Source organism: Homo sapiens, chromosome 12, assembly GCF_000001405.40.
Source record: "Homo sapiens chromosome 12, GRCh38.p14 Primary Assembly".
Classification (NCBI taxonomy): Eukaryota; Metazoa; Chordata; class Mammalia; order Primates; family Hominidae; genus Homo; species Homo sapiens.
Window position 1 is genome coordinate 93061465 of NC_000012.12, and position 17981 is coordinate 93079445.

At 44.4% G+C, this 17981-nt stretch overlaps 1 long non-coding RNA gene across 1 annotated transcript in view, besides 1 other annotated feature; it reads right to left on the minus strand.

Annotated features, from left to right (window-relative positions):
* The window catches only part of LOC643339 (uncharacterized), a 373979-nt gene that overhangs the window by 57707 nt on the left and 298291 nt on the right, over nt 1-17981 (minus strand). The gene's annotated exons all lie outside the window — the stretch shown is intronic.
* Nucleotides 12701-13621: an enhancer, noted in NCBI's record as "NANOG-H3K27ac hESC enhancer chr12:93467941-93468861 (GRCh37/hg19 assembly coordinates)". NCBI's record gives its function as "activates a minimal SCP1, AML or CMV promoter by ChIP-STARR-seq in naive H9 embryonic stem cells {active_cell/tissue: H9 hESC(naive)}" and the evidence as "EXISTENCE:reporter gene assay evidence [ECO:0000049][PMID:30033119]".

The following is a 17981-nucleotide window of genomic DNA, read 5'->3' on the forward strand; positions in this document are numbered from 1 at the left end:
GTTTCCATGGAAACAATGAGTGTGGCTGAGGATCCCTACAGGACCTCAGCACTTTTGGGGCTTGGGTGATTGGTGCTATTGGCTTGGTGATTCCAAAAACCTCCCTAAGTTTCAAAATTTTAAAGCTCAAGCCAACCTTCTCACACCCCTGCTGTGCTCCTCCCATCTCTTTGACACACAGATACCTCATGCATATGGCACTGCTCTGAGCTCTGAAGGTGTTAGGAAAATCCTCCCTGCAGAAATATGACCTGTGATAAAGAACTAAATAAAACATTTTTTGGCAAGAACATTTCTGAAGATCTTTCCAATCCAGAAATATTTTTTTTGTTTTCAGTAACCCTACCAAGGCTGAACCAGGATGCCTATAAAAAGCCTTCTGTGTTCCCCTAAGCACTCTTAATGAATCCTCAGGAAGGATGGAATAAGAGGGGGGTCAGAGACCTGAAGCCCGTGCCAGAGGCTGAGCATGCCAGCTTGGCTTGGTGCACTGGTGGCAGTGCTCAGGGCCCCTGCCTCCTGTCCTCCCATTGGCATGGTCTCAGCCCACACTCCTTAAGGGAATTGGCTGTGCTCCTGGCTTGTCTCGCCTGTGTGTCTGCTAGTTATCGAACAAAGGGTGGGATTACTTCCATGCCCAGTTTCCCAGATGCTCGCAAGCACAGAGCCAAGAATCAGCTGAAACAGAAGGGACAACTGAGCAGAGAAGCCCTCTTGATGAGACTCGGCCACACTTGAGCTGTTGTTCCTGCCACGAGACACACCTGTCATATAAAAGCCAACAAGCCATACAGGAAACATGGTGTGCCTCCTGTTTACAGCCGATCCTAGAAAACAAAAACTTTGCTGAGACAGCACCAAACGTGAAAATGGGGAGACCAGCCAAGGGGCCTGAACCGTGCACAGCCCCTCTCCCTGTTGCATAGACAGGAGGAGGAGTCAAAAGCTAAGAAGGTTTTGCTGCTTCCAGAAGCTGTTCCCTCACCTCCTCCTCTCCTTCACTAGGTATATTTTCCCCAATCTTCAAGGACTAGCTTCAGAGCCTGAAACTCCAGGAGCTGACCCCCTGATAAAACTTTTTACCCCAAAGTAAACGCAGGCAAGATGCTTGCTCCGGGTGGAATGATGGGCACCTCTTGGTTCATGGCTACCTTCTGCAAGCTAAAAGGACCTACAGGGTAGGGGTGCATACTATCCCTGGAAACCGAAACACAAGAAAGTCTCTTAAAACCCCCTTGATCACCCAAATGTCCAGAAGTCATTGGACCATCTGAGGCTCCTCCAGCCCCAATTCCTTCAGGAGCTAATTGCAGAAGAATTTCAAAAACGATCTCTCATCAACTTGTCCAAGGAAACCAGGACTCAATATACCAGAAAGTTGTGAAAATGGGGTGTCCAGTGGGATGACTAGATCCAAGGTTTAGGGAGAATTAGAAGGGAGATAGGAGAATTGAAGAAAGGTAAGGACAAAGAGGAAGATTATTCCAGGGCAAGAGAGAAAAAACCAAAAATATTAATTGGAGTAAATAAGAAAAGTATTAATTGGAGCTGTTTTGAGGGATCCAGAGAGGAAACCATTCCCCTGGCACAAGGTACATGTTTTAAGGGCAAGAGAAAAAAACATATGAAGAGCACTGAGTAAAAGCACTGAATTTTTTTCCTGGCTACTCCTTTGGAAAGAAGAAAGGGGAATTGTGTCCATAATTATGCATTTTTTTTTTTTTTGAGACAGAGTTCACTCTCTTGCCTAGGCTGGAGTGCAGTGGCATCATCTCAGCTCACTGCAACCTCCAGCTCCCAGCTTCAAGCAATTCTTCTGCCTCAGCCTCCCAAAGTAGCTGGGATTACAGGTGTGCACCACCATGCCCAGCTAATTTGTTTTTTAAATTTCTGTAGTAGAGACTGGCTTTCACTGTGTTGACCATGCTGGTCTCGAACTCCTGACCTCAGGTGATCCACCCGCGTTGGCCTCCCAAAGTGCTGGGATTACCAGTGTGAGCCATTACACCCAGCCTATGTCATATTCTTTACAAAGCTGAGGTTAAGGAAACCAACTTGGTCCTTGGATCAAGTCATTTATTTCTATAAAGCAGCTCCAGGCTGCTATAGGTAAGGAGAAGAGACATAATAATATAGATCAATACTGACTTGGGAGTCTTCTCTTCTGTGAGTTTCCATGAACAAAATTTGGGAGTCAGGGATATGGAAACAGAAGGGAGCTGCAACTCATTGAGCATCGCTCTGCTTTGAGCCCTGGGCTGAGTGCTTTATATTCAGGACCTTTGTACTCCAGATCCATACAAGCAGCTGCCCACCCAATATCCCCACTTGGGTGTCTAAAGGCATCTCAAACTCATCCCAAATTGAGCTTCTGCTCTTTCCCCCATATCCTGTTCCAGCCACAGTCCTTCATTCAGTGGATCTCAGCTCCATCCTTCCAGTGGCTCAAGCCAAAAGTGTTGGAGTCATGCTTCACCCTGTACTGCTCGCATACCCCATGCCTGCTTCAGTAAGAAAATCTGTTGGTTCTACCTTCAAAATGTAATCTGGAATGGCTGTACTTTTCCCTACCCCTACTGGCTCCACCCTGGTCCAGACCATCCTTGTGTCTCACTTGGATGATTGCAATGTTCTCCTTGCTTCTACTCTTGCTCCTTTGCAATCTATTCCCACCACAGTGGCCAGGGGGATGTTTTTTAACATGTCATATCATGTCATTCCACTGGTCAAAATCCGCCAACAGCTTCTCATTCTACTCAGAGTAAAAGCCCAAGTCCACCCATCTGGACCACATTCCCTCCCTGATTCCATCTAGTGATACCCCTTGCCCACTCGGCTTCAGCCTCACCAGCCTCTAGGCATCAAAGCTTTTGTGCTTACTGTTTCTTCTGCCTAGAGTCCCTGTCCCTAGATCTCACCCCCTCAAGTTTTTTCTCAAACATTACTGTGGGGAGGCTTTCCCAACTAATCTGAATAAAATGGCCTTCTTTCCTGCTTAATTTGTTTTCCAGAGCCCATATACAGTAACTCTTATTTATTTTCTTTATTTATCATATGTCTCTCTTCCCTAGAATGTAAGTTCCTGAAGTTAGGATTTTACCCACTGCTGTATCCCCATTGCCTAGAATGGTCATTGACACACGGTGAATGCATGATGAGTGATCTATGTAGTTGTGCCCTCTGTAAAAAGTCTGCTGGGCACGGTGGCTCATGCTTGTAATCCCAGGGATGTGGGAGGCTGAGGTGTGAGAATTACTTGAGCCTAGGAGTTTGAGCCTGCAGTGAGCTGTGATCACATCACTGCACTCCAGCCTGGGCAACAGAACGAGACTGTCTCAAAACAAACAAACAAACAAACAAACAAACAAATAAATAAATAAAATAAAAAAGCTATGAGTTGATGAATCTATCTCAAATCTATTCTTCATCCAGAGTCCTCATTCCAAGTGAACTACGCACCCAGCATCATGAGCTGCCTAAACTGTTGACCAGAGCATCAGCTCACGCAGCCCCAGGGAGATCCCTGATGTTCAGGCACTGTTGGGGGAGGAAGACAAGGTACAAAGAAACCAACAGGAGTCAATGTCAAGAATTTCACAGGGGATAGGAAATTTTGATTTGGTTCATGCAGCTTGGATTCCTTCAGAAAGCCTTGAACTGCCACCATTAGAAAAAGATACACACACATACACACACATGCACACACCCACACGCCCTGCCTGGGAGAACTGACATTACCAAATTCCAGAAAACCGAAAACAATCTTATCCTAACAGGGAGAGAGACATCATGGAGAACATGGCATTTAGTAAGGAGAAAAGGAAATATAGCTCCTGAGTTTGAATGGAAGAAGAACCTAAAAATAACTAGGCGGGGCGTGGTGCCTCACTCCTGTAATCTTAGCACTTTGGGAGGCTGAGGTGGGCAGATCACTTGAGGTCAGTAGTTTGAGACCAGCCTGGCCAACATGGTGAAACCCCGTCTCTACTGAAAATACAAAAATTAGCTGCACATGGTTGCAATTGCCTGTAGTCCCAGCTACTCGGGAGGCTGAGGCTGGAAAATCACTTGAACCCAGGAGGCAGAGGTTGCAGTGAGCCGAGATCGCACCACTGCACTCCAGCCTAGGTGACAAAGCAAGACTCCATCTCAAAAGAAAAAAATATGAAAATAAAAAAATAAAAATAAAAATAACTTGCCCTATTCAAAGATATCTTGCTTGCCATATATTTTATAATAAAAATAAATACATGAGTTGAGGGAATGAGGTGAGGGTATCTTTAATACTGCCTTCCATTAATATCTTGGCTTTCTTTCTGAGAACACATGGTACATTCCAGGAAGACAGCCCTGTCTTATTTCTAATTTTCTAAAATGATTGTTCCTGACTTTAGCAGTATGACATGGGTTTTTCCAAGCCCAATCACTCATGATTTTTTAGCCTAGTAATCTTTAAAACCAAAGATGCGTTTTGTCTTGGAGCTGGGGAAGAGGAAGGCAATGATCATTTACAGAGCCCTATTATGTGTCAGACACTTTATACTTCACTCCTCAAATTTGAAGTTCGTATCATTATCCCTGTTTCACAGATGAGGAGACTGAGGCTTAAGAGCATTAAGTGATTTGCACATGATTGCCCAGATAGCCAAGGCTTGACCTCAGGACTAATGAACTCCAAAAATGCTATTCCTTCAACTATGCAGTGTTGCGTTTTTCCTACAGTGACTAACAGAAGAGTGAGAGCTGTGCCTGGACATTAATAATGAATTAGCTTTATTTGTAAACCCCTGACCAAGAAAATATGTAATACACAATATCTATACCTGTAGACATTTTCCTTCATTCAAGGAAATAGCACTTCAAAAGAATGGAAATAACACAAAACAGTTTGATGGTAAACCAAAATAATCTGTTCAGGTCAAAAGAAGTCAAACTTGATCCAGCCTTCGAAGGGCATTTTCTAGCATCATCTGAACAAATCTTACTCCATCTGTAAGGTGGAGATAATTATTTAATTTTTAAATTTTTCATGTATGACTTTTTACACCTTTAAACATCTCTAACAATTGAAAGTCATGATGTGTATGATTCCTGAGCGATCCATTGGGATGCTACAAATAGCTGTTAATAGAAAATCCAGGCTGGGCGTGGTGGTGCACACCTGTAATCCCAGCACTTTGGGAAGCCAAGGTAAGAAGATCGCTTGAGCCCAGGAGTTCAAGATCAGTCTGGGCAATAGAGCAAAACCTCGTCTCCACAAAAAATACAACAATTAGCCAGGTATGATGGTGCATTCCTGTAATCCCAGCTACTCTGGATGCTGAGATGGGATGATGGCTTGAGCCCCAGGAAGTCAAGACGGCAGTGAGGCATGACTGCACCATTGTACTTCAGCCTGGGCAACAGAGGAAGACCCTGTCTCAAAAAAAAAAAAAAAAAAAGGAAAAGAAAATCCAAATGGGATGACAGAGTGGTTTTAGGTTGGCAATGTCAGTAGCTCTGTGGCATGACCAGGACACAGGTTTCTCTCATCTTGCCACTCTGCCACCCTCTGTGCAACGGCTAGTCTTCTTCTCAAGGCAGGCTCTTGTAATGGTCTCAAATGGCTGCCTCAGTTCCAGCCAACATTCAGATGACAATCTTGAGAGGTGGAAAAGGAATATTCCTGTCTTGGGTCTCTTGGGTCTCCTTTTACAAGTGAGATAAAACTTCCATCATTCTGGGCCAGGCATGAAATTGCAGGGATGACCTAGGAACCTATATGCTCCTAGTGATACAGAGGCACGAGCAAAGTCCAACTGCACAAGCACATTGCAAGCCTCCTTTTTCATCCCATCTGTTAATATTCCATTGCTCAAGGCACATCCATGGCAGAACCCAAAGTCAAGGAGCAGAGAAGTATACTGCTCCTGTGTTGGCACTGTGACGAGGGTTCTGATATATGCTACTACAGGGAGTGAAGAATTGGGATCAAGGATTTAAACTACCAGCTACACGGGCTCATGCCTGTAATCCCTGCACTTTGGGAGGCTGAGGTGGGCAGATCACCTGAGGTCAGGGGTTCGAGACCAGCCTGACCAACATGGTGAAACCCCATCTCTACTCATAACAAAAAATTAGCCATGCATGGTGGCGTGTGCCTGTAATCCCAGCTACTCAGGTGGCTGAGGCAGGAGAATCACTGGAACCTGGAACCTTGGCTGCAGTGAGCCGAGATCGCACCACTGCACTCCAGCATGAGTGACAGAGTGAGACTCCATCTTGGGGGAAAAAAAAAAGAATTTAAACTACCTAAACTACCACCTGTGGTTATATTAGGCAGAACCTTATGAAACTGCCATATTTCAAATACAAAATAGTCGAATGCTGACCATCCTGTATGATTCGGTGTAATGCCATCACTGGAACTTCAGCATGACCTTTTGTCCACTGGCTATCAGAACTCTCTGGAAAGCAGAGGACACAGTTGGTGGTTCAGAAAAAGCAGATTTACTAAGGACATAGGAAGTGAAAAACAGGTAATTATCTGTCTCTGATATAGCAGTATCATTCCCTTTAAGCAGAGTCATGCTACATTTGAATCAAGCACTTATTAGAATTTAAAGATTATGTGAAAATAAACCTTCAAGGTTGAGTCCCAAAGATATTTTTCCCTGGGAAGTCAGATGTGTCATGGTCCCATAGGAAGACTATTACTTTTAAGTAGAGATTTAATTACATTTTAGGATTGTCTTAATTATCCCCGCTCAATAAACTTCCTTTCCAATAGAATCCACGAGCAGCACATCCTAACAAAAGTTCCCTAGTTTGTCATCCCCTCATCCCTTTTCCCCTCCACCACGCATATACACCCATGAACTTGATTTCCCTGCCTCCACCTTAGTTCATTCTCATCTCTTTGGAATACCTGTTAGTCACTTGCTGACCTCCAGTCATCCTTTCCACACTCCTGTCCCCATGCAAACTACCTCCTCTGCCTTCCCATAATACTCTATATATCTGTAATATAGAATTTAACACATTGTAACAAAAATATGTAAGTATACATCCATTTCACCCTCTAGATTATGAACTCCTTGAGTTCAGGGACTGTGTTTTATTTATCTTTGTTTTTTTGTTTTGTTTTGGTTTGTTTTTGAGACAGTCTTGCTCTGTTGCCCAGGCTGGAGTGCAATGGCACAGTCTCGGCTGAGATTACAGGCATGTGCCACCATGCCCAGCTAATTTTGTATTTTTAGTAGAGATGGGGTTTCTCCATGTTGGTCAGTCTGATCTTGATCTCCCAACCTCAGGTGATCTGCCTGCCTTGGCCTCCCAAAAAATTTTGTATTTTTAGTAGAGATGGGGTTTCGCCATGTTGGCCAGGCTGGCTCGAACTCCTGACCTCAAGTGATCCACCCTCCTCAGCCTCCTAAAGTGCTAGGATTACAGGTGTGAGCTACCGCGCCCGGCACTCTCAGTTTATTTTTGGCTTGTGCAAAGTCTAAAGCAGATGTGCCTGCTTGGGCAGCTCTCCACCAAGTGGTAACGCAGGGATCCAACCTTCTTCCATCTTGACACTACCATCTTCAACATGTGGCTTCTAAAAACAGTGCAAACATGAGACATGTCATGGGAAAGGCACAGCAGATGCTCACCACCTTAGCTCAGAGATGACACAAATGACTCCTTGGCTAGTCACATGGCCTCAGTTAGAAATGGGGGTGTGGCGAGGAAGGCGGGTGGGAGGGCCTGGATGAGCAACAACTCTACACGATGGAAAGGGAGCATGAATCTTTGGTAGTTAGCTAACTATCTCTGCTACAGGGAGGAGAGAGGAAGAAAGGTAGGGAAAAAGGGAGGGAGGGACTTACTCAATGCCTAAATACATACATACTACTTTTTAAGTCCTGTGCAAAGACTTCTCAAATTTTCTGCCACTTAGATCCTTAAAACCAGATGTAGAAAGCAGTTGAACAATATGCTGAGAGAAAACACACCAAATATAAAAACTAAAAATAAGGAGGAGCCCATTGCAGTTTCATGTCTTAAGCACAGTCAGGAGGAAGGAAAGCTTCAGGATCTGGGGACAGGGTATACATATGTCTGCTTGAGTTCCATGTCTTAACTTGAGAGAGGAAGAGAGAAGAGGAGAATAGCAGGAATCTGCTCAACTGGAAAGCTTCTAAGGAGAGGAGGCTTATGGGAGAAGCGTTATCAAGGGATACATCCTGCTATGAAGAAGGCAGAGTGTTCACAGTGAAAAGCAAACCAGGGAATTGGGGGGACATGACTGGGTCATGAGAGAATCATAGTCATCACTATTTGGGAGTGGATGAGGAGTGAATCACCAATATGAGACTACATGTCCAGCTATTGCAGTTCAATGCGAAACATCTCTAACAAGTCATTTTAGCACCAGTAAGCTCCTGCTCTTGAGAAAAGCAACCACTATCCAGGAGGTTGCATACAGTGAGGAGGTCTGGGATTGGAAGCCGGGGGGTGAGAGAGGAGGAGTAAAAGCATCTGTGGTGGAGACTGATAGCTGTTCACTCAAATCCATTTCCTCTTCTTCCTGAGCACAGGGCCTCCCTTGCAGTTCAGCATTGCCATGTCAATGAAATATGAATAGAAATAGTATGGGCCCCTTTCAGAATCAGCCTATAAAATCCTCCTATGTGTGATCCTCCAAGTGTCTTCATCCTCTGCCAGCAAGATGCACATGGCAGTGAGGTCTTATGTTTTGGTGAAGCCACATTTGAACCTGGGTCCTTGAATGACTTCATGGAAGAGAGCCTACTTGCCTAGCTGGACACCTGCCAGGACTGTTAGATGAGCAAGAAATTAATTTCTACTCAATGATAGACACTGTGACTGCCACCCAGATTCCATTTCAATCAAGGACTTATTGCCACAGCTGAGGTAGTGCTGTCAGCAAAGAGTCCCTTCAGGGGCTGCCTCCCTGAAGAACAAGAGAATGGTTTTATTTAAGGTTATGCCCTTTTGAGAAAAGCCCACATCTGGGGATCAACCAATGTGAGGCTCCATGTCCAACATTGTGGTTCAATGTAAAGCATCTCTAACACGGCATTTTAGCACCAGGGCTTCTGTAGTCTTGACCAAGGTTTAAAGCATCTGGCCTGATTTACAGATCAACTTCTCTTTTGCCCAGTGCTGCTTCCGTTTACTCTTTTCTACAGGTTTTTAATGAAAGAACACTCTTTAATCAACATCTGGCACACTAAACCCTCAGAGTCGCCTTCCTGGACCCCCTGTCTCCCCCTGCCATGCCCCGTAAATACACTATGTTGTTGGATGTGTTTCATCTATATGCTGTGTTAGTTCAGATAAGCCATGGCATATTTGATCTACATATAGATGAAACATTTCTTCTGCTGACACGGCTATGCTAGGTTGGCCAGCACACATGTTCCTTGCTATGTAGAAAAGTCTAGGCCGTCTGCAATAGGAGAGAATTTTGTCAAGACACAAGCAGTAGAGACAGAGGCAGATGGGAGAGAGAAAATCCAGCTGGAGTGAGTCTCTTCCCAGTTTTTGTAGCAATGATTCCTAAAACTTTTCCTTCAGCAACTCTAGTATCTTCCCCAGTGACAGAAGCCATTGACTCCCTTTTCCTTCCTACTTTTTTTTTCTTAAGATGGCTTAAACTGGGTTTCTGTCATTTGCAACCAAAAAAGTCCCAATACAAGCGGTTTTGTGCTATGTAAGTGAATGAGTACCCTACCCTTTCACTGGTACTCTCTCAAAAGAAAATTAGAGACAGATTTACATAAACTTTTAATGAAACCATCATTTATTGAGAACTTTCTACATGCCAGTTCCATTCTACATACTTTTTTGTTTTGTTTTGTTTTTTTAGGCAAAGTCTCACTCTTGTCGCCCAGGCTGGAGTACAATGGTGTGATCTCGGCTCACTGCAACCTCCGGCTCCCGGGTTCAAGCAATTCTCCTGCCTCAGCCTCCCGAGTAGCTGGGATTACAGGCACCTGCCACCACGCCCGGATAATTTTTATATTTTTAGTAGAGATGAGGTTTCACCATGTTGGCCAGACTAGTCTCAAACTCCTGACCTCGGGCTATCTGCCCGCCTTGGCCTCCCAAAGTGCTGGGATTACAGGCGTGAGCCACTGCGCCCTGCCTATTCTACATACTTTTAATATATTAACTCAGTCCTCACAAGAGCCCCACGAGATGGGTACCATTACTATTATTCCCACTTTCAGACAGGAAAACTGAGACACAGAGAGATTATGAAATACACCCGAGGTTACCCAGTTTATGAGTGATAGATACCCCCAGCGCCTGTGCTCTTACCCAGTGATGCTCTCTTGCCTGTGTTCACACAGCCTGAGATGGGGACATGAGAGGCTTCTGTCTCATATGGGTTATATTCATGAATGACTAGGGTTCTTTCCCTTCTCTCTCTCTTTTTTTTTTTTTTTTGGTTGAGATGGAGTCTCACTCTGTCACCCAGGCTGGAGTGCAGTGGCACGATCTCGGCTCACTGCAACCTCCGCCTCCCAGGTTGAAGTGATTCTCCTGCCTCAGCCTCCCGAGTAGCTGGGATTACAGGCATGTGCCACCACGCCTGGCTAATTTTTGTATTTTTAGTAGAGACGGGGTTTCGCCATTTTGGCCAGGCTGGTCTTGAACTCCTGGCCTCAGGTGATCCACCCGCCTCTGTCTCCCAAAGTGCTGGGATTACAGGCATGACCCACTGCGCATGGTAGGTCCTTCCCCTTCTCTTTGTGCATCCATTATAACTTGCAAGAGCAACTACCTTACAGAAGTTAACAGCAAAAATGAACCAGAAGGCAGAGAAATTGATCCCCAAACTAACAAGCAAAAGAAGTAATTAGGGGTGCTGTGAGAGGAAAAGCCAGGGCTGGGAGGGTGTGCAGACCTGAAGTTATTTAAATGATAAAGGCACGGGGTGCTGCAGGAGAGACGTTGAAGGGTTAATGTTGGACATATAAACACTAGACCCGTTGGGAAGAGCCCAAGAGGCAGAGCAATCAGCTCTGAACAGTACACAGGAGGCTGACCAAAGAGCAGTGCTTTCTAAGCCAGGACATGGGCTAGAACCTGCCAGATAGAATGTGGTTTTCTCAAGAACCAGGAGAATGGGGTCAAGAAAGGTCAAGCTGGTAGGGAAACTGAGAGAGGCTCTGAGTCAAGAAAACCTTGGAGGGTAAAGTGTCAGGTCTCTAACTTCACAGTCCCTATTATCATGTAACTGTGAACTCTTCACACCCCGAGACTTCACATATTGGAGTGAAGAATTGGTTTCTTAAACTTCAAGGGCTAGGTGAGTGTGATGTTTCCTTACTGAGCCAAGGAATAACAGAAGAGTACGGGGCAGAGCTACATTCCCAGAGAAAAGTCAAGAGGAGTCCAGTCCTGACCCTGTGTCCACCATCACCCATGGGAGACAATGGTGAAGGCTTCTGCTGCTGAGTGTGGGGGACTCTGGCATTTTGTCACCACTCTTAAACTGAGTTTGCCTCCAAATATGTTAGCCTGCTTTAGAATAAACAGTGATAACAATCCATTTATTTGCAGAGAAGGACTTCCCTCCACTTGCCCTGGGTTAAGCTAAAGTAGAATGAAATATTGGTAAAGGCGGGCAGGCACACATTTCATCCATCACTGCTTTTTTTCCAGGATGCTTTTGACTACATCTTATGTGCATATAATGTCTCTGATGATAAATATTTCAAGATTAGAAGATTCTCCTTATTTACCACTGCCTACAGTCACTTTTTACAGTTTCACACCAATTTAACTATGAATACCAACTATGGTAGGTGATGACATACATTAGCTCACTTAGTGTTTGAAACTACCTCAAGAAAAGGGCATTATTATATTTCGATTGTGGTAAAATATCCATAACATAAAATGTACCATTTTAACCGTTTGGAATTTACAGTTCAGTGGCATTCAGTATATCTACTTGTTGTACAACCATCACCACCATCCATCTCTAAAACCCTTCCATCATCCCCCAACTGTCACCACCATCCGTCTCTAAAACCCTTCCATCATCCCCCAACTGTCACCACCATCCGTCTCTAAAACCCTTCCATCATCCCCCAACCATCACTATCATCCATCTCTCTAAAACCCTTCCATCATCAGCCACTGAAACCTCACACCCATTAAACAATAACTCCCCATTCCCTCTTTCCTCCCAGCCCCTGGTAACCATTATTTTGCTTTCTTTCTTTATTTAGCTACTCTAAAGTCAAATTGTACCTCAGATAAGGGCAGTCATAATATTTGTCCTTTTGTGTCTGGCCTATTTCACTTAGCATGTTTTTGAGGTTTGCCTATATTGTAGTTTATGTCAGAATTTTTTTCCCTTTTTAAGGTTGAATATATTCCATTGTGTGTGTGTGTACATACATGTAAGTATGTATTTTGTTTATCCATTTATTCTTTAATAAATATTTGGGTTATCCTTTTGGATTTTGTGAATAATGCCGTTATAAACATGGATGTCCAAATTTCTGTTCAAGTCCCTCCTTTCAATTCTTTTGGGTGTATACCTGGAGACGGAATTACTGGATTATATGCTAATTCTATTTTTAAATTTTTTAGGAACCTCCCTAATGTCTTCCACAGTGGCGGCACCGTTTTTCACTCCCACCAGTAATGCACAAGAGTTCTAATTTCTCCATATCCTTGAAAGCCATTATATTTCATCCCCAACATTACAGACAAGGAAACTGAGGCTCACAGAAATGAGGACTTCTCACAGTTACAAGCTACTGAATATCAGATCCCCTACGGGAAGCCAGGATTCCTGACTCCCTGTCCATCGCACTTCCCCAGTCCTACAGCTGCCTCAGTCACAGAACAGCAAAAGTAGAAGCCCACTGAAACCCAAAACCAGCAGAATTATATCCAGGAAAGAATTTGTGTCTGGGAGTTACTGTGGGGAAAAGCAAGAGAGATCAGATTGCTACTGTGTCTGTATAGAAAGAAGTAGACATAGGAGACTCCATTTTGTTCTGTACTAAGAAAAATTCTTCTGTCTTGAGATTCTGTTAATCTATGACCTTACCCCCAACCCCCTGCTCTCTGAAACATGTGCTGTGTCAACTCAGGGTTAACTGGATTAAGGGCGGTGCAAGATGTGCTTTGTTAAACAGATGCTTGAAGGCAGCATGCTCCTTAAGAGTCATCACCACTCCCTAATCTCAAGTACCCAGGGACACAAACACTGCGGAAGGCCGCAGGGTCCTCTGCCTAGGAAAGCCAGGTATTGTCCAAGGTTTCTCCCCATGTGATAGTCTGAAATATGGCCTCGTGGGAGGGAAAGACCTGACCGTCCCCCAGCCTGACACCCGTAAAGGGTCTGTGCTGAGGAGGATTAGTATAAGAGGAAGGCATGCCTCTTGCAGTTGAGACAAGAGGAAGGCATCTGTCTCCTGCCCGTCCCTGGGCAATGGAATGTCTCGGTATAAAACCCGATTGTACGTTCCATCTACTGAGATAGGGAAAAACCGCCTTCGGGCTGGAGGTGGGACATGCGGGCAGCAATACTGCTTTGTAAAGCATTGAGATGTTTATGTGTATGCATATCTAAAAGCACAGCACTTGATTCTTTACCTTGTCTATGATGCAAAGACCTTTGTTCACGTGTTTGTCTGCTGACCCTTTCCCCACTATTGTCTTGTGACCCTGACACATCCCCCTCTCGGAGAAACACCCACGAATGATGAATAAATACTAAGGGAACTCAGAGGCTGGCGGGATCCTCCATATGCTGAATGCTGGTTCCCCGGGTCCCCTTATTTCTTTCTCTATACTTTGTCTCTGTGTCTTTTTCTTTTCCAAGTCTCTCGTTCCACCTTACGAGAAACACCCACAGGTGTGGAGGGGCAACCCACCCCTTCAAGTTACCACCCCAGTTATTCTTATAATGGTGATAGCTCGAAACACACTGTTGCTAGAACTCTTCAAGCAGAAATGTATGTGGTTCAATGACAAGATTGATCCTGTTGATTTAGCAAACATTTCATCCTTCAGTCATCCGGAATTCATTAATTCATTCAACAAGCATTTATTGAGTGCCTATTAGGTGCCAAGCATATTTTTAAGAGCTGTGAACAAGACTGCCAAGCTTTCTCCTCTCATGGAACTCACATTCTCGAGAAGAAAACAGACAATAAATAGAAAAGCAATAAATTGGATCATTTCAATGTTATAAGCACACTGAAGTCTATGAACAGGGTGATGGGACAGAGTAATAAAGGCAGGGAGGAAGAGCGACTTTAGATACTGTGAAGCCTGTCTGGAAAAGGTGGTATTTAAGCTCCATGTGAAATCTGGTAGAAGAACATGTGGGCATACAGAAGAGCAATGTAAAGGTGTTGAGGTAGAAAGAATTGGAATGTTCTAAGAAAATCAGGGTGTCAGTCTGGTGGGACCATGGAAACAAAGAATGGAGAGTAGAGGGAGATGTAGTCAGAGAGAGGACAGGCACCAGATCAAATGGGTCTTTATATGATAATAGCTAATGTTTATTTAGCACTTACTTTGTGTCAGATGCTATTCCAAGTAATTTTTATGGGTTAGTTATTCAATCATTATGCAACCCTATAATTAAATACTATTATTATTCCCACTCTTCAGATGAGGGCACTGAGGCCCAGAGAGGCTACATAACTTTTCCAAGGAGCTCTAGTTGTTAAGGGGTGGAACGTAGATTTGAACCCAGGCAATTTGGCTTCAGAGTCTCGGTTCATAACCACTTTGTCATAGGACCATCTTGTGATTAGATGTTATTGCAAGATCAATAAGATATCAATGAAGGGCTTTAAGCAGAGGTGACAGGACTTGTTTTGTATTGTTGAGATGATCACCCTAGCTGCTGCATGGAGCAAAAAGGGAGGCAGAGAAACCAGATGGAGGCCATTATGGAATTCCAGCTGAGAGAAAGTCATGGTGTGGATGAGGGAGGTAGAGGTGAAACAGACAGAAATAGACACTGTTAGGATACCTTTTTGAAGCAGAGCTGTAGGGGTTTGCTGACACCTTGGATGTGGAGGTGAGGGGAGGGGAGGAACTCAGGCTCACTGCTAGGTTTTTTACTTGAGCCATGTGTCAAGTGGAGAAGACATCTAGTGAGTTGGGGGAAGAACAGGGTGTAGAGGGGATATGTGTTGAGTATTTGAATGTCTAGCATCCATTTCCCTAACAGCACCCCCATTTCTTGTTAGGGAACACCACCTCCTTTTTTTTTTTTTTTTGAAGCTGAGTTTCGCTCTGTCGCCCAGGCTGGAGTACAATGGTGCAATCTCGGCTCACTGCAAACTCTGCCTCCCGGATTCAAGCAATTCTCCTGCCTTAGCCTCCCAAGTAGCTGGGATTACAGGCGCCCGCCACCACATCTGGCTAATTTTTTTGTATTTTTAAAGAGACGGGGTTTCACCATGTTGGCCAGGCTGGTCTTGAACTCCTGACCTCAGGTGATCCGCCCACCTCGGCCTCCCAAAGTGCTGGGATTACAGGCATGAGCCACTGCGCCCGGCGGGAACACCTCTTTCTTATGAGTTATAGTCAAGCCGAGAGGCCATACATGATTGAGATAGTCCAATCAGGTAATCCTTTCCTGGAATGCGAATCTGAAGAAGGACAAAATTCAGTCCCTCCAGGAGCTCCTAACAAGTTTTTTCTTTTGCAAGGCATTTGCTGTGCTTCCTAGTTCCAAGTCCAGGACTCCAGCCTGCCATCAATTCTGCGAGTCCCAAAGCCTTCCAGCACATTCTGCCTGCCTAAGTTAGCCAGTGCCAGTTCTTCTTGCTTGTAAGCAAAGAAAGTACAGGTTGGGGATAGGATAGGGTAGAGGTGTGATGCTCATAATCAAGAGATACATTTTGGACAGGGTAAGTGTATTAGTCTGTTTTCACGCTGCTGATAAAGACATATCCGAGGCTGGGAAGAAAAAGAGGTTTAATTGGACTTACAGTTCCACATGGCTGGGGAGGCCTCAGAATCATGGTGGGAGGTGAAATGCACTTCTTGCGTGGTGGCGGCAAGAGAAAATGGGGAAGATGTAAAAGCGGAAACCCCTGATAAAACCATCAGATCTCGTGAGACTTATTCACTACCATGAGAACAGTATGGGGGAAACCACCCCCATGATCAAATTATCTCCCACTGGGTCCCTCCCACAACATGTGGGAATTATGGGAGTACAATTCAAGATGAGATTTGTGTGGGGACAACAGAGCCAAACCATATCAGTGAGATTAAGATGCCCATAAGACGAGTCAAGGAAGCTGTTTGATATATGAACCTATAGTTCAGGGGTGAGGTCTGGACCAGAAAGAAAGAAATTTGGAAATCTTCAGCATATACATAGTATAGTTCTGTGTGGGAAAATATGCCATATCTTTTGCTAAAAGGATCCTGATTTTCTTTCGGGGAAATATCCCTCCTTCTTGGCTAAGAATCATGACAGGCTGTTAATCAAAGTTCCAGATTCTCCTCTAGCCAAGAAGTAAGGAGAAGTCTCAGGCCTGAACAGTCAGCACAAGCCATTTACCCAGTCGTAGTGATTATTCAGGGCTATGCAGATAACCCAGATCATTTCAATAAGAATTAGCCAAAGGACTTTTAGTGGAACAATAAGGAAGGAAAAGTTGTTCTTTACAGAAGAATTGCTAAACTGGTACAGTGCAAGCTTGGAGCTACCAGAGCCTTTTTTTTTTTTTTTAAACCACCTTGGGACTGTAGCCTAATAAGAATGAGACCAACACAACACAACAGGAAAAAAGACCCAAGTAACAGAGGGAGAGAGGCCACGTGCTGATGCAGCATTGAGGCCCATGAGGCTGTCAGTCCTGGAGCTAACATCACAATTACATGAATCAATGAATTCCCATTTTTGCTTCAGAGTTGAGTTAGTTTCTGCTACTTGTAACCAAGTGGGTTCTGACAAGTACAAATGGCATTTAAATGAGTAAGATCACACAGGAGGAAAATGTAGCTAGGACTGAGCTGCAAAACACTAATAATTAAAGCTCCAGTAGAGGAGGAGGAGCCAGCATTTTGGTTAGATTGTTTCTTGTCTTTGATGACAATTGGGACCAGAAAGGTAATGCAATGTATTGTATCGCTGAAAGAAAGAGAATCTGTTAGCAGAGTATCGCAAATTTTGTTTAACTGTCTGATAGGTACAAAAAGGGCCTTATGTTTGCAAATTCCCAATATAAAAAATTCGCTTGTAGCTTAGTGTTGGCACGTTATTCCTGTGTTTAAAAGTCAGTACCTCATTGCTGAAGAGCACCATTGCTGCTGAGTCATGCCATCCAAGACAACTATGGCTACCTGCCTTTTCTTGGCACCCAGCATTCCGAGATGCTGGAATTCAGTGATTTTGGCGAAGACAAGTCAGACATGTGCGGACTGTTGGTAAATATGCACCAGCCCTTTGTGGCTTGACTGCCCAAAGTCAGGGAAGAGCTTGGACTCGATCTCTGCTGGCCCCTGAATTCATTTTGGATGAGGCAGGTTGGTGTGTGCTAACCAGGGTCCCCGTTCCTAACAATAGCCAGACTGGCATCGTTGGCTTCAAAATGGATTGTTCTGGCTCCCAAGTCAAAAGCGGCTCTGCACAAAACTAATATTTTGAGCAAATTGTACAGAGTTGTGCACAGTGGAATGATGAGTTTTACCCAATAGGGAGTGCTGAGACAGCCAAATGGTGGCTCTGAAGTGAGTGCCAGGAAGCTGGTCTTGGGGATGGGAGCAGAGTCATCATAGAAATGGATGAATGGCAGGGACTGCAGAAACAATCAAGTAAGAGTCTGCAATTAGAGGAAAGAGTTTGCTCTTTTAGCCAGACACAAGAAGACAAAGGGAAACTCTTCCTTTTGCCACACAGGAAAGAAAATGTGGATTTCAAGTTGTTTTATTCTGGGTTAGTAGGCTCTGAGAAGCACTTAGAGCCATCCAGCCAGCCCATG